Source organism: Homo sapiens, chromosome X (assembly GCF_000001405.40).
Source record: "Homo sapiens chromosome X, GRCh38.p14 Primary Assembly".
NCBI classification, from domain to species: Eukaryota; Metazoa; Chordata; class Mammalia; order Primates; family Hominidae; genus Homo; species Homo sapiens.
In genome coordinates, this window is record NC_000023.11 from 63,729,146 (window position 1) to 63,745,814 (window position 16,669).

The 16,669-nt window shown below is 44.2% G+C and overlaps 1 protein-coding gene across 27 annotated transcripts in view; it reads right to left on the reverse strand.

Moving 5' to 3' along the window:
- ARHGEF9 (Cdc42 guanine nucleotide exchange factor 9) overlaps nt 1–16,669 on the reverse strand; it is a 150,248-nt gene that overhangs the window by 94,179 nt on the left and 39,400 nt on the right. The window contains exon 3 of one of the 27 annotated variants that reach the window (NM_001369037.1): nt 2,861–3,165. The exons of 25 other annotated variants lie outside the window; for them this stretch is intronic. The gene's annotated coding sequence lies outside the window, so the exon portion shown is untranslated. Of the gene's footprint in view, nt 1–2,860; nt 3,166–14,223; nt 14,302–16,669 lie in introns of all 27 variants that reach the window. One more of the 27 variants, NM_001369036.1, reaches the window with a different exon arrangement.

The following is a 16,669-nucleotide window of genomic DNA, read 5'->3' on the forward strand; positions in this document are numbered from 1 at the left end:
ACAAATTTTCTCTTTAAGGTGTTAAATATGGGGGGCCAGCAGGACATGCAGGTGGGTGGGAAGCTCAAGAGAGATTAGGGTATATATACAGGGTTGGGAATCAATGGCCCAGAAGAAATTGTGAAAATCAGAGTTTGCCCTGGAAAAAAGTGCTAAGGCCAGAAGCCTTGGGAAATCAAGATTTATGCTTAAAGATGGAATGTGAGGTAAGGAACAGAAAAAGAGCTACATAAATAAAACTAAAAGAAGCTGTTAGCACATCATTAGGATACAAAGGAGCATGATCTCTCAAAAGTCAAAGACAAGAGTTTCAAGCAGCAAGAGCTCATCAACATTATCAAATGGTACAGAGCTATAAAAAAGAAAACCAAGAAAAGGCCATTTGGGAGTAGCTATAGCAGAGATTATATTCTCTATTCCCAAACTGGTTTATATTCCCTCCCTGCCAAAATCCAACTGTTACCATCCTTCATCTTGCAAGCCTATCATAAAGCCAGAAGATGGAGCAGCATCATTCTAGCAAGGTACTCAAAGAGCTCTGAGCCTTAGGACAGCACTACTGTGGCTTCTAACAAAATAATTCCCAATCCCCAGGACATTTCAGAGGAAGCACTAAATATAGGGAAGCTCTTGCTCAGACTTACAAGTGAGTGGGACACATAGTGTTTCCCACTCCCACATCAACAAAACTTTTGGACATGAATAAGAGGATGGGGAGGGTTAAGAGTCCTGCATTATGCTTAAAGACAGAATAGGATATTATTTCTTTGTATCCAGATTTCCGAAGACAATCCTAATATCAAATATTCTATCTAATTGCTCCCCAAAGTAGATATATCTGTTTATCAGCTGTCATGTGCCTTGATTTTTAACCTAGAAATATGATTGCTATACCCTGGAGGCACTGGGAGTCTGAGATCTAAGGCTGGTCTCTGTGACCAAAAAAGGCATGTGTGTTTGCAGTGAGCTTGGGGTGGCCAGTGGACCCTTTCAGTGGGAACAGAAGAAGAAATGGGAAAGACAGAAGGAAAGTAAAAGAGTTATAAAGGGAAGGACGAAGCAAGAGAAGCTTATACTTGTAGAAAACATATGCTGCAAACTGGATAAAGGGCTTTCTTTTGTGATTTCAACCTCTATAATTCTCCAATGTAAGCATTAACATCTCCATTTTTACTGAAGATGACTTGTGAGATAAAACAAGTAACCCACAGTTACCCAGTTAGTAGGTGGTGGAGCAGATTTAAATCTCCAGTTGGCCTTACTCTACAGCTTTGCTATTTGCCAGTCCCCCATGGAACCAGTCAAATGGCAGGGAGGGGGACCAGCTCACCCTGTGAATGACCTACAGCAGTGATTCTCAGTTCCTCAGAGGTCTTGTTAAAACACAGGTTGCTGGGCCACATAGGCCTTGAGTATTGATTAGGTAGGTCTGAAGTGCAGCTTGAGAACCTGCATTTCAAATAGATCCCCAGGTGATACTGATGCTGCTGGTCTGGGAATCACATCTGGAGAACCACTGCCCTAATGGACTGTCCTAGTGTAGGCCCTACCCTTGCCTCTTCTGATGCCTCATTCTTCACAGATTTCCCCATGCCACACCATATGTTGTGCTCCCTGCCTCCAGCACTCCCTTCCTATCTACAAGGCCTTCCTCAGTTGTTGGTAAATGTCTGCAAAAGGGTATTTGGGGTCATGTAAGCAGCATGCCCAATGTCAGGCTGTGTTAACACAGGAAAAAACTTGGGATTATGGCTGTCACCCAGTCTTTTAGAGCCATGCCACTTATCTACAACTTCTTGTTCTTCCCCTCTAGTTCAACAGCACCACCCCCAAAATAGACATTTAATTAGCCTTGGTGGCTGTCAGAAATATTAGTGTTTTAATAAGAAGCAGCAGAAGGGAGAATGGGTTAAAAAATGTGAACCTCACATGTATGGAATAGCAAATATGCCAATTGCCATGAAGGTAGATGAGCTGGACCTGCCTTCCAAGAAGCTCCGTAGGAGGAAAAGGAGGGACATGACAGGGGTTTGCCTATGAGGTTTTCTCAGGTTGGTGTCTGCCCGTATCCTCTCAGAAGGCCCCCTTCTCCTGAACAGCTAAACTTGGGCAAGAGCAAATTATTTTCCCTTGCTCCCTTAAGCATATCTAAAACAAGCTGAGATTTTATGCTCTCTCCTGAAAAAGCTAGATTCCTTTTAATACAGCCTTGAAAACGCTCTGGCTATCTTGCCCAAAGTGTTGAAGGATAATCATCCTCCCTATTTTTGGGAAGGTGTGAACCAGGCTGCCCCAACAATAGCTATGAGGTACCATGGTGTACAGTAAAGACTCAGATTGGCTATTGGAAGAAAATCTGCCAGTAACTCACCAAATGATCTTGGACAGGTCCCTTTCCCTGTCTCAGTTTTTTTTTTTTTTTTTTTTTTTTTTAGATAGAGTCTTGCTCTGTTGCCCAGGCTGGAGCGCAGTGGTGCAATCTCGGTTCACTGCAACCTCCACCTCCCGGGTTCAAGTGATTCTCCTGCCTCAGCCTCTAAAGCAGCTGGGATTACAGGCATCTTCCACCACACCTGGCTAATTTTTTGTATTTTTCGTAGAGACAGGGTTTCACCATGTTGGCCAGGCTGGTCTTGAACTCCTGACCTCAGGTGATCCGCCTGCCTTGGCCTCCCAAAGTGCTGGGACTACAGGCGTGAGCCACCGCACCCAGCCCGTCTCAGTTTTTTTACATGTCAAGTGACAGACTGGAACCATACAGATGACCTCTCAAGTCCCTTCCAGCTCTGGTATTCTACTGAGGCTAACACTTACTCTGCAAAGGACGGGGATGTCATTATTGCAGCTTAATTCTCCTCACCCTTCTTTGTGCTTGATAGGATGCTTTTACTGCTTTCTGCTCAAAAAAATGAGAACTTTTTCCTGAAGATAACTCACTCAAGCATTGCTGGCAACACAGTCAGACTACCTGGGAAAATTGAGAAGTGGGCTTCCCACTTAAACCCTTGACTGCCGCATTCAAAAGTCAATAGGGACCTTTGCTTTTTGTTCTCTCCACTTAGTTCTTCAGATGAATCATCCTTCTCATGACATCAGTTCTCGCTCACCTCCAGTCCCATATTTCCTACTGCCTGCTCCACATTTCACTGGATGGCCTGCTACCACCTCCAATAAAATGCAAAATTCATCATATTCCCCCATTCTCCCTCCTTCTCAATTTTTCCCATTTAAGGAAAATCTTCTGGCCCTGCTATTTCTTTCTTCTTCATGTCTCTCCCTCTCAGATACAACGCATTCTCTTCATTCCCACTGTCTTATCCTGGTCCTCATCAGCTCAAACTGTCTCCCAACCGGCTTCCTTGGCCCTTACAGGTCTGTCCCTTCCTCAAGCTATGCCTTAATGATGCGAATCTTAAAGCATTTTTGCTAGTATCACTCCTCAAGCTCAAGAAGCTTCAGTAACTCCCCACTATCTCAAAGCTCTCCTTAATCTAGCCTCATCTCTGGATCCAACCTTTACCTCTAACAAGGCAGGGGCTTTCCACCACTCTTGTCAAAATGAGTCTCTTGCATCCTTCTCATGACATCAGCTGTCACTCACCTCCAGTCCCACATTTCCTACTGCCTGCTCAACATTTCACTGGATGGCCTGCTACTGCCTCCAATAAAATAATGATCAATCCTACTTCTGTGCCTCTGATTTGGCCATATCCTTAGCCAATGGTTACACGTAGCGACACTGGGGCCAGGCTGCTTCTTCCTAGCTGTGTGATTGTGGCCGACCTACTCCGTAATCCCTTCTCTGATGACTCCAGGCTGCATCCTCTCTCTCTCTCTGCCTCTTTCAGTAACCTTATCTACCTAGGATAAGCAGAAAACAAAAATTTGGAAGAGCTATTCAAGTTGCTGACCAGAGTGTTATTCTTCAAATAACCAGAGTATATACTTCTGAATGATAGGTCTAAAACATAAGCTTAATCCATAATGAACAATGTGTATACTCCACTTAAAGTTCTGACTTGAGTTCTAAAAGCAAGCAAACTCTGAGGCAGAACACAGCAATAGAGTAAGCATCTCTGTCAGGTGGCAGAACAATTTATGGGGCCAAGGAAATTGTTTACATAATATGTACCCAGCTGCCCTATATGCCAGTCCATTGTTGCCAGGATTTATTGCTAGGTGGCTTCTATGGCAGGCCAGTTTTTGCTAAAGATCTGCACTGGTGCCCAGTGATCACCAGGGAAAGAGGCAGAGATAGATGCTAGGTAAGAAAAATCCCACTGTGAATATCAAAAACATCCCAAGAGTTGCTTTTTCTTTTCCTCAGGTTTTAACATTTTGCACTTGATTGTTTCCAGTTTCAATGTGGGTGTTGCTATTGCCCACAAGTAAATAATTTCATTTCTTGGCAGAATAATTAATGCACTCAAGTGATAATGACTCTAAATATGCTGAATGGAAGTATGTACATATATTTTTTCATGACACAAAATCATCTTTTTCCTAATTTGGGTGTGTGATTTGTGAGTCATTACACATCAGTTTCCTTCAATATCCCATTATACTATCCAGTTTTCACTTTAATAAAATGAAAGATCTACTGTTCAGCCACACCTGGCAGACACAAAAGGTAGGCCTAGATGGGGTCAGCCTTGAGCAAGACAGACCACCTGATCTAGAGCCCAATATGAACAGTGGTCATAAGCCGATTCACACTTTCCAGGACCTTTTAGGACATTTTAGCTTGGAAAACCCAGAGAAGCCCCTTAGGGCATGATGCCATCCAGAATATTTTCTCACTGAGGCTAATAACAAAGAACAGCTTCTTCCTGCACTTCTTCCAAAGGAAGTTAAAAGGTGATCTCTGCTCTAATGGTGACCCAACAGATGAGAAAAGGGTTGTTGCTTGCTTGTCTGGACCTTAGCAATAGATGGTAAGAAACCCAAGCCAGTAGCTCAGCCAAATGGGCCCAGGAGTTTCTGAAGTGAGACCCAGCTGCTGCCTCAAAGTTCACAATGTTAAGAACTTGGTCTTGTTTAGAGAATGATCCCCTTTAAAGAAAATGCAGCCAAATGGGCCAAGGATTGCACAGATCAGAGAGAAGACATGTTTCTGAATGGCCAACCTAGATGATGTTGGCTAGAGAAGGTCCTATATACTACAACAGCTCCCAATCTGATAAACATTAGCTTGTATCTACAAAATATCTTGGAAACAGGAGTAATTGTCAAGTTATTCTGGGATATTTTGGCACTTCTGACGCATTACAACACTGTTTCTTAATGTGAGGTCCACAGACCCCTGCTCAGAACCACCGTACCATATTTATTAATAACAAGCAACCAGAGTGATTCTGAATCACGTGCCACACTGAAACCAACTGTCTTAATCTTTCTGGGACCAGAGAGTTTATATTGCAGGAATTTCCTCTTACTGCACTGGGCCACTCAAAAGAAACCAGAATCTCTGGAACTCCAACTCTAGGCTTATCCTTCTTGTGTCAGATTCCAGAAAGGCTGAGGAATTACGGTGGCCTGTCGGAGAGGATTTCTCCCAGCCTGCCTTGAGAGACTATTTGCTTCTGCTCTGTTCCACCCTCATTCCCGTCCCAACCTTCAGGCACTGAAGCTACCACTAGTTCTAACAGCAAGTCCTAGCAGCATCTCTCTATGCTATAATCTGGAAGAAATTTCCTAGAGCTGTATTAAATCTCCCCAAGGCAACCTCCAATATTCTAAGAGACAGATGGTTAGTAAAAATAATAATAATGGACTCAGCAATGCCCTCTCCATGAGTTCCTGAGTCAGAACATGCCATCTCAAGCTTGAGGTTACCCTGACCTTCACCCATCTGTTGAGCCAGCGTGGGTCTTATACCCAAAATGTCCCTGCCCTGGGAGCCATGCTCGTCTTCTTGGACTTGGTGTGAATGCCGAGCTCCAGCTACCCACTGGAGACTTTTGTTGCCTTACTACCCTGAGATATGGGAGCTGACCAGGACAAACCTAGGGAATATGCAGGGATGCTCTAAGAGCCACAGATCCCTTAGGCGACCTAAACTCATCTTAAGGTCTGCATCTGGGTTCCTGAATTTCTTCATGTAGTCGCCTTAGGACCAGTCCTGGGAGCTTTAACTTTTCCTGGACTACGACTTGAAGCCAGGCCTTGGAGTTTTCTGGGCAGGGGTGGGGTTCCTTTGTTTCCAGAAGGTAGGAGGAGGGGGCTAGAACTACAAGAAGAATCTGTCCTCCATGACTCCCACATGCATGGTTCTATACTCAACACCACAGGCAGAGGGTGGGTGGGCAAGGCAGAGAGAAAAAGGGAAATTCATTTTTTATCCATTTGTCAGATGTCGTGTTAAAATCTTGTAGAGAAAGGAGAGCTGAAGGTAGCGGGAGGAGCAGGGGAGGAGATAGGTTGGAACTAAGGGTCCTAACGTCGTTAAATGTGACCATCTGGTTTACAGTGACAAGAACAGAAACAACATTTAGTTAGGAGCACTGTGACCTGCTCCTATATCTAGAGATGAAGCAGGAAAAATGAATATATTTCAATTAACTGAAACCACCTTTACGTCTACTGAGCATGCCCAGCAAGGACACAGGCTTGCAAAAACTCTAGACCTTGGCATACGTTTCCAAAGAGAATGTAAGTATCTCCCAGGGAGTTTTTACAGCCCAGAGAGGACATCTGCATTTAAACAGCCCATCAAAAAGTGGAAGATAGTTTCCAGTGGTGCAATGATTTCCCTCTACCTATTGGCTCACTGTGAGAGAAAAGACATCCAGCCAAGGCCAAGGCACCTAGCAATGCCTCTAGTCCATGTCAGAAGCCTTTTATGCTCAGGAATGGACTATGTTCTCCTAAAAAAGTCTAGCCCAGTCCTGGATGAGGAAGTGGCAGAGGGATTCAGTGAGCAGCCATTGGGTCAGGCCCCAAGGGACTCAAACTGGCTGAGCTGGCTTCCCCTCAGACCTTGAAACCAAAGACTTAGCCAGAGGGATACAACGACTAAACCTAGGCTGCCAGAGAGGACAAAATAGAAGCAAAATCAGACACACCCTCAAAGCTCAGAAGGGATGGCACCAGGTCTGTGTCTACAGGAAAAGTGGTTGTGCTTGTAACAAAACAATGTCAAGTAGGTTCGCTAAACTTATGTAAGGAAGCATCTACCAGTCTGGGCTAGGTGAAAGTGGTGGGGGTAGAGAAGGGAAGGAAACCAAGGCAGCTGATAGAGGGATAAAGCATCTAGTAAGGTGTCAGGGCTTGAACTCCTTTTAACTGTCTCAGCTCAAGAGCCCCAAAGGCAGTGGATTCTTATACTCAGAGGTGGTCAGGATTGGAGATTTCCAAGTAACTAGTTAGCACACCTAGCTCAGTCCTCCCTTTCTTACAGGTAAGAAAAATGAGGCTCCAATGAGAAAAGCTTCCTAAGGCATCAAGTTAGTTAGCAGCAGAGCTGCCAAGATTAGAAACCAAGCCTATAGTCTTAGAAGAATGGTAGCCAATAGTTTTTGGATCATGTACCTCTAATGTTAAAAACAAAAATACAAACATTTAGCTATTCTTGTCACAAAAAAGTAATTCTGTGAAATGACAGATATGCTTCACTACAGTAACCATTTTACTATCTATCTATATTACAATATCATGTTGTAAACCTCAAATATACACAATAAAATTTATTTTACAAAAAACAAAACAAGAAACACCTATCCCAATATTTAAATATTAATGTAGTATGTGTTTTATAAAAAAAAACTCCACAAAATAGAAATTAAATAACAATGAGATTAACAATTTAATATATAAAGAACTAATATTTTCTCCCTAAGTCTCACCTTGGAGGTTACCGCTTTCAACATTTTCTGGTGCTCTTCTCTCCCACTGCTCTATAGACATCATCCCTTCAGTACTAAAACCAGAACCTGACTTTCCCTCCCTGCTCAGGGTCCCAAACAGGTCTGACCCTGAAGATTAAAAGATAAGAACACTTCAGTATGAAGGATTAGTAAAGATACTTCCAGAATCTCCCCCACGACCAGATGATTTTTGCTAAGGAATCTCAAATTCAAATTCACACTAAAATGCAAATGTCAGTAATAAAAACTGGGATGGGAAGAATGAGCTCTAGGTGTAGCTTGATTCTGGACTTGCTGTATGAACTTGGGCAGATCCAGCGCCTCTCTGAGCCAGCTGTATTAAATTATTTCAAATGGAAAGTTGAGGTCATCTTTGACATATGCTGCTGCTTTGCTTCTAAAAGCAGGTTTTGACAGGGGTGGGGTGGCCCCCCAAAAAAAATGAAACAAGGAAGTCAGGAGAGGGATGGGGTGGAATAAAAAAGGTCAGAAGACAAAACCTGAGTATTTCAAAATTTTGCCATGGGCTATCTCCCACTCAAAATACAACACCAGTACAGGGATGGCTTTTGGGTTCCACTGGCAGAAGGAAAAACACTGCCTTTTCCACCCAGTTCAGACCACTGGGTTCAAGCCACCCAAAGTAGTGTCTATGAAAATATTAAGTTGCACTTCTTCCATCTGCTCAGAACATCACAATTGCTAAGTTGCCTTCATATTCATGAGCTCACTGGACCCACCCAGAAATCCTGGGGATAAGCAGAGTGGGGATGAGTTGTTCCATTTTAAAGGTAAGGAAACTAATTTGTGAACAAAGGAAGTTACCCAGCTATCCCAGGAGCACAGAGGCCAGGAGAAAACCTAGATCTACTGGCGCTGGTCCAGTGGGGTTTTTTTCCTAATAATAAAAAATGGCTAACATTTATTGAATGTTTACTATGTGTCAGAGACAAATCTAAGTTTTTACATATAATAACTCATTTGATCCCTAGTTTAAAGATAAGGAAACCAAAGTTCAGAAAAACAATGAAGTAACTGTTGAAGTTCATAGAGCCAGAATCCAAACCTGAACCCAGACAGTTTCCCTCTAGAATCAGTGCTCTTAACCTCTACTTTCCACAGCACATCTTCACATCCCCAAAAGGTGAAATTCAATGAAGTATCAAAGAATCTCCAAAGCATAGCAAGGTACAGAACAATATGTGTTGTATATTACCATAAAAAAGAGAAAGAGGAATATATTCATATTTGTTTATACATCCACATAACATTTTTCTGGAAGGACTCATTGGTGGCCTCTGCAGAGGGCAGGGAGTGGAAGGGAGACTTTTCACTGTGCACTCTCTTGGACCTTTTGAATTTTGAAACATGTGAATATATTTCCTATCCAAAAATAAAATTTTAAAAATAAGGTATCTATGGTCAAAAGAGATTAGGAAACTGCATGGCTACTTCTTGGCAGGGCTGTGCCAGCTAACCTTTTCCTATTCACTTCTCTGGGCTCTCAAATTTGAAGAAAAGAAAGTTCCTCTCCCCATTTTTCCTGAAGCACCGCATTCCCCCCACCCCACTTCCCTGCCCCACTGCTTATCCAATCCCACAGAAGACATCCCTCAAAATGAATACTGTAGTCATTTTGGAGGTTTGAGCAGCAAAAGTGAAGATAACAACAGATTGGATTAGGCTCCCACAGCCAATCAGTGGAAGATAGGAAAATAATGCATCAGCAGCAATACAAATGAAGAGAGACACAAAAGCCCTTTTCCTCCAATGCCTGCCCCTCAAGGCCTGAGCTCATCAGATTCCTCCATCTCTTTCCTCTCACCACTCCACTCAATGTGTCACCCCTTCCCTCTTCTGGGCTCAGAATAGCAAAAACAAGCAAGCTAGAAAGACTCCAGGAAATCTGACTGAACACGAGAATCTGTGGTGTACAAAGGAAAACCACACTAAGGGAGAAAAGGTAAGCCCAGCTGGGTTTTAATGTCCTCATTGAGGCCAGGTGAAATTCAGCCCAAATGGTCTCCAGAGACACTCCCAGTTTTGGTTCTTGGATTATTTCCATAATCTTATCCCTCAACTATTAGCACAATCCTCCAGAGATCAAGGCCCTCAAATATATTTCCTTAGATCCCTTTCAGCCAACCCCTTAGGCAGGTCAGGGGTACCCAAAAAACTGTGAGGAGGTGCGGGTGACCAAGGTGGATTTTGTGCCTCCAAGAATCCTCCTATTGTCTTGAAGTGGCTTAAACCGGCAGAAGGATTGCTTCTCACAACAGCCTAACATCTCCAATTCTTCACTGCTTCCAACATGCAGGAGACAGCAGGACATGAGCTGCTGTAGGAGGGATGAAGGGACAATCAGCGTGTCTCTCTTGGGCAAGCAGGGAGAGTGCTGGGTAAAGCTGTGCCCCAGAGAACCCCCTGTACTGCTTGTCAGAGAAAAATCTAACTCTTTATATATATTTACTTAAGTAACCTCTGGCAGATTCCTTTAGCACTGGAATTCATTGGTGGCAGCCCAGGGCCAGAGTACATTGGGTTGGGAATCTGAAAGCATGGCTTCTAGTCCTGAATCTACCACCACCTAATCCTGCCACCTCAGACTTGTTTCTCTTTTCTCTGAGCCTCAGTATCCCCATTTGTAAAATGGATATAATAATGCCTTAAAAGAACGGTATGGGAAAGGGGTAGAGAAATAAAGTGAAGTTTCTCAATTACCTCCAAACTATGTGTAATTACAACCTGGATGAAATCTTAACAATCCAAACAGCAGGAACACATGTTCAACATTTTACAAGACACTTTTCACATCCTATGTCACAATGAAGTCTTGCACTTAAAACTCTTATGAGAGACTACAGTTAAGCCCATTCCACAGACCAGAAAACTGAGGGTCAGGAGAACTTTGCCCACAATGTCTGCAGCAGGGGGAAACTTGAACTACATAGTCTAGTTTCTGACCTTCTCCCTCTCAGCAAACCAGATAAAATGGCCATGAGCACAAACACAAAGAGGATTCTCTTAGAGCCAGAGCTGGCACTCTAGGCTGCCTCCTCTGGCAGGTGGCAGGTACAGGTGACCTGGTCTTGCATTTCCTAGTTTAGGAAGAAATCCCTGCTCCTGATGCCTCCCCTTCTCTCATTACCTAGGAGATTCCTGAGGAGCCAAAGCTACATGACCACCTAAATGCTGCAAATCTGTTTTCTTTCCCAGAATGACTGACCTGGCATTGAAAAGCATCTGTATATGTGGGGGTAATCTCAGCATGACTTTGACCAACCTGACTCCATGAGGGTGTCTTCTCTTGGCTCCTTTTTTTTGGCCTTTGCTGTCTACAGCTACTCCAATAGGAGTCAGGTCCAATTGTTGGCAGGAATTGAATCCAGCTTAGGGACAATGATGATGCAGCTTTATGCATGGAGAAAAGTGTATCTTCAAAACATTTTCTCAACTCTTAGCCTAGCTGAGCCTTTCCATCATCTAAGGGCAATACTGGATGTTTTATAAATAAAGCAAGTAAGACTCAGACAGCAGAGGGGAACGTGACTGAGACACACTGTAAGAGGCAGAGTAGCAACTGAAACTCATGTTTCTTGACCTCAAAGCCAAAGCTGAGAAATGGGCATGAGGCTGTTATAGTTAATAGTAACCCAACTGAGGCTCTGAGGATGCTGCTCCCAGGAAAGCCTGGTATTCCCCAGCTACGTGTCCCCCTGCTTCCCACCCTTCACTCAGACCCAATCTAGGGCCCTGTCTTTCCAGCTTCAGCCTTAGGTACCAAGGACCACAAAGGCTTCCCCAGGACACCATGACCTGGTTTCCAGCTTGAGGAACTCTAAAAATAGCAGGTATTCATTAGTGGGGCCAGATGACCCAAGCTGCTGTGCCTAGGGGCTAGGTTGTGGTCATTAAGGATGAGGCTGGTCTCAGACCACCACTAACCCAGGAGAGGATGGGCCACTGCCCAAAGGGATCTCCCGCTTATGCATCCTACCACTTCCCCTCACACCCTAACACCCACAATTTAGATATCTTTGCTCTAGTCCAGACTGTTATTTCATTCCCAAGAAAGATAAACTTTAATATCCAGTGACTTTAGGCCTTCTTTGACATTGCTTCATAACCATATCACTCCACAATGGTTTGTAAGTGAACTGGGGGATGAAGGAGCAGGCTCAAGCTTTCTGCATTGATCAATCCCAATTTGTGTTTTCCATTCTTCTGCATCTGCCTGTTAACTCACATCTGAGGGCTCTGCTCTGAACCCTGTTTACCTTACAGAGCCTGCTACAAAACATGCCATCTTGAACATCCATTTTATTACTGAGCATACTGCCCTCTCAAGTCTAATTTCAAGGTTAAAGGAGAGCCAGAGCAAACTTATGGAGGCCCACCAGCTGGGACCAGTTCCCTGTCATGCCCACTTAGGAAAAAGTGACAGCTGGCTGGCCCTAAGGGAAGGACGTGTTCTGCATCAAAATATGTCCCACATGGCTGTGTGGAGCATGTGGATATGTCCCATAGGTGTGTTCAAGTGTGACTCAACACTCAAGTGTGGAGTGTTGTTTGCCCAAGTAGTCTTTAGGAGTGTGTATCTCAGGTATAGGAGTGCATGTCCTGGGTAACAGTATATCTGAGAGTGCATCTCAGCATGCCCCATATGTATGTGGGTGCACAATTGTGCCTTATATGCATCCATGTGCATTCACACATGCAGATGCGTACAAGTATCCCTCATGTGTGTTCCTGTGTGTGTATCCTGCCTGTGCTGAGAATGTGCAAGTGTGAATATTCCTCCCATGTTTAACTGAATGTGTGTTCCAAGTGTGTTAATGTGAAAATATGTTCCAGCTGTGTGTCCCATGTGTGTCCCAAATACATCCCATGTGTCTGAGTATGTGTAAGTGTGCATCACATATGATCTATCATGTATGTGTATGTGAAGGTACGGGCATAGAGCATGGATAGACAGCAAAGCTGAACCAATTTTCTTCCCCATCAATTTGTTTCTAACAGCCTTCCTTCAAGTCTGGGTCAATCTGCTCTTAAGCAGGACAAAAGACCTGGGTTCAGATTTCATCTCTGTCACTTCCTGAATGTGGTAATCACAGGTGCTTTTCCCAAGAGGCTTAGCCACCCCTCATTCATCTAAAGAGCCTCACAAATGTAAGGTAAATTAGCCATTGGCTGACTAGAGAGAATAGGCAAAGATCACGGACAAATTCTGAGACTCTGGGCAAGTTCCTGCCTCTCCTTAGACCTCAGTTTCCCCAGAAGTACACTGAAGGAACGAGCTCAATGCTTGGGTTCCTCTCACTGTTACCCAGTCACTTCTCAGCTGAAGTACTATGGACAAACTCTGCTTGCTCCCCCCAACACCACAAAGAATCAGTGTGTAGATATGTGCACGTGGATTAGCACCTGCAGATGTCTCATCCCAGCTAGGCCCCCTCTAACCCTCAGCAAGCTATTGGTTGTCTCCCTATTCTTGTCATTCCACACTCATTTTCCCAGTGGCCTGAACCAACTGGAGTAAAAGGAATGGCATACAATCTCCACCAAAGCCCAGGCAAAATGACATGTAGTTTATCCAAATCATTCTTCCCCATCCTTTGGGATGACCATAGAAACTGGTAATGGTAAAGAGCCTGCTTTTAGGATCAAGGCCCAGTCTTTAAGAACATGGCCAGATAAACCCACAGAGAGAAAGCGTCCAAACTAAGTAGGTCACCAAAGACTACAGAATCTGGGGCCACTTTTCTTCATTTTGAAAGGCCTCTCATGTATCCCTGGACAATGTGATATCCAGATGAATTTATTGTAGATCCAGTAGATGCACCAAAATACCAATTAATGGTTCAATGCCAACCTATCCAATTATCCAGTAGCATATGCCTACTTCTTTCTTCTATCTTGATTAACTTTTGTAAAAATGCTTAGAGCCAGGTGTGGTGGCTCACTCCTGTAATCCCAGCATTTTGGGAGGCTGAGGTGGGTGGATCACTTGAGGTCAGGAATTCAAGACTAGCCTGGCCACCATGGCAAAACCCCGTCTCTACTAGAAATACAAAAATTAGCTGGGCATGGTGGCGTGCAGGAGAATTGCTTGAACCTGGGAGGCGGAGGTTGCAGTGAGCTGAGATTGTACCACTGCACTCCAGCCTGGGAGACAGAGCAAGACTCCATCTCAAAAAATAAACAAACAACAACAACAAAATACTTAGACAGAAGCAAACTACAGAGGGAATCTTAAATGGCTTGCCTAGAGACACTTGGTACTGGTGAGTTGATAATACCTAACGCTATATACTATGTTCTTCCTAGCTCACCACTGACTTTAAGATGCAGTACTGACCTGAGTCAATCAAAGCAATTCTCTGAGCTTCAATTTCCTTAGCCATAAAATTGGGAAAATAATCTTGGCTTTGGCCACCTAATAGTGTAATGGAGAAAAGAACATGTGTCAGGAGCAGAAGGCTATACAGTAGTCTTTATCTTCTTGTCCTGCCCCCAGATCAGTGAGATGTTTCCAAACAAAATAATGCGAGTATAAGTGAAGAGTGTTGATTTGTTCTACACAGCTCATTGGGCAAGAACCTGCAATTTCTAAAACAGTTTTTGATCATATCATGAAAACCCAGTAATCCATCACAAATCCTAGCCAAGGATCTAGGGGCCAAGAATTGTTTTTTAATTGCCATGTGCCTAAGTGGTTTATGGCTTGATGGACTTAAGAAGGTGCTAAATAAAAACACAATTAATTTTGGCTTTCTTCCAAGTTCCTCTTTTAACTTTGCAGGAGATGAGGAGAGACAAAGTTAGTCTGCTCTTCATAGCAGCGAGTGTGTGACTGCATGGGAAATGGAGCTTGGGATAAATAAAAGAAAGCTTATTTAAAAACAACAACAACAACAAAAATCAGAAAACAAAACAGCTTTCCACCAAGCACCCAAGACATGGGCCGGGTCACAGGGCCTTTCTTCTTCCAAGGGAGAGAAGTAAAAAGAGTCCTCCAAAAATGACAGACAGAAATGAGGGACAGAGACAATGGGATTTGTTCAAGGTCACACAGCAACTGACTTCACATTTGCACCTCCTTTTTACTCATGTGTACATCTTCCATTCAACCAAATCTTTATAGAGGGCTTACTGAGTGTCAGGCCTCCACTGGGGCAGTCACCCACAGTTCTGCCTGAACTGAAAAATAACAAACTCCTAGTTCTGTGACACTTTGCTTTCCATCACACCACACAGGTTTCCCAAACAACCCTTGAAAGACCACAGTGGCTTGCACATCTTGCAGGTCCAGGAATTCACATCCTTGCATGGCAATGTTCTAATTCCAGCACTACTACAGATGTACTACATTTCCTGGGGCAAGTCCTTTTCTTCTCTGGACCTAGTTCCCCAGCTTCCACAATGAGGAGATTAGAATCAGGACAGCTCCAGCACCTATTTTTCTAGAAAATATAGCTGTCTGCAGTGACTTTAAGTGGCACTGTAACTTCCAGAGCTGAAGCCCAGAAGGCCAGGCTAGAAGCAGCTATGTGACAATAAGTCTTTGAACATTCTTTTTCTCACCTGTGAAATGGAGATAATCTCTGCCCTACCCACTTCACAGGGCCACAGAGAAAATCAAGTGAGACGATGTACAAAATCCACTGAAAAGTGTAAGACTGTTCAAGAGGAGTAGTTAAGAATCAAGTGAGTACCCACTAGCCCCAGTTGCTTTCCTCTTAATCCAAGTAGAGTGTAAGTCTTCCCATGCAGTTCAGTCTAAATTTACAAGACATGAACTTCAGCTGGTTGCATGCTCCAAAGGAAATTAATAAATCCCTCAACTCCCTTTGGGTCCTAAGCACAAAGCAATCTCATCATTTTGCTTTTGTTCTAAGCCCTCCTGCCATGCAGGGCTTATCAGAGCCCCTCCTAGAGATGCCTAGCTCCTCCTCTGCCTCTATCCCAATGCCAAGGCACCTACTCCCCAGCCTTCTTGCCATCCTGCACAATTCACAGAGGGAGGAGGGAGAGAGTGGGTGGAGGAGAGGCTGTGGGAGGTTCAGCTAAAAGTAGCTACTGCCTTTAGGCACCACACTCTGAGGGGGTGGGGGGTGGGCTCTTAGTACATCCTTCCTGCAGCCAGCTGGGCACGGAGGTACATGGCTTTCCTTTCTCTAATGAAGGCAGGCAGGCGGAGAAATCAGCTGCCAAAGCCATTCCCAGAGCTGGCTATGGATGTGCAGTGCTGGCCTCCTCTGGGCCCTGAGGGTAGATGGCCACTCACAGGGCTGCATCTACTGCTCTGCCTCAGGAGAGCTAATGTGGCCTTCAGGAGACTCTGTGTTCCCCTCATCCCCATCCTACTCCCTGGAACTCCAAGGACTACTAACAGGCCTGCTCCCTCTCCAGGAGGTTATATAAAGCTCTTGTTCTCCCAGCCTCTCGTCAGCTTGCTTTCTCCAACCAAACCTGAAAGAGCATTCAGGTCTCTGATCCAGCCAAGGGAGCATAGAGCCAGAAACCTATAGGGGAGGTAGCAAGTTACAGCAGGCAAGAGCCCTATCTAAAGAATCAGAATTCCAGAACTATCACTGCAACCTTGGACCCATCCCTTTCCCCTCCTGTGCCTTAGTTTTCTCACTTGTAAAAAAAGGAATGGGGGCAGTGTGTTGTACTAGGCACTTTAATATCTGCCCCTAAGTGATTCTCTGTAAATCCTGGCCACTTAAATGAAATACCCACCCCCATCACACAACTCTATCCAAGGATGCTCTATCTCCCCAAGCACTATGGCTGGGCTT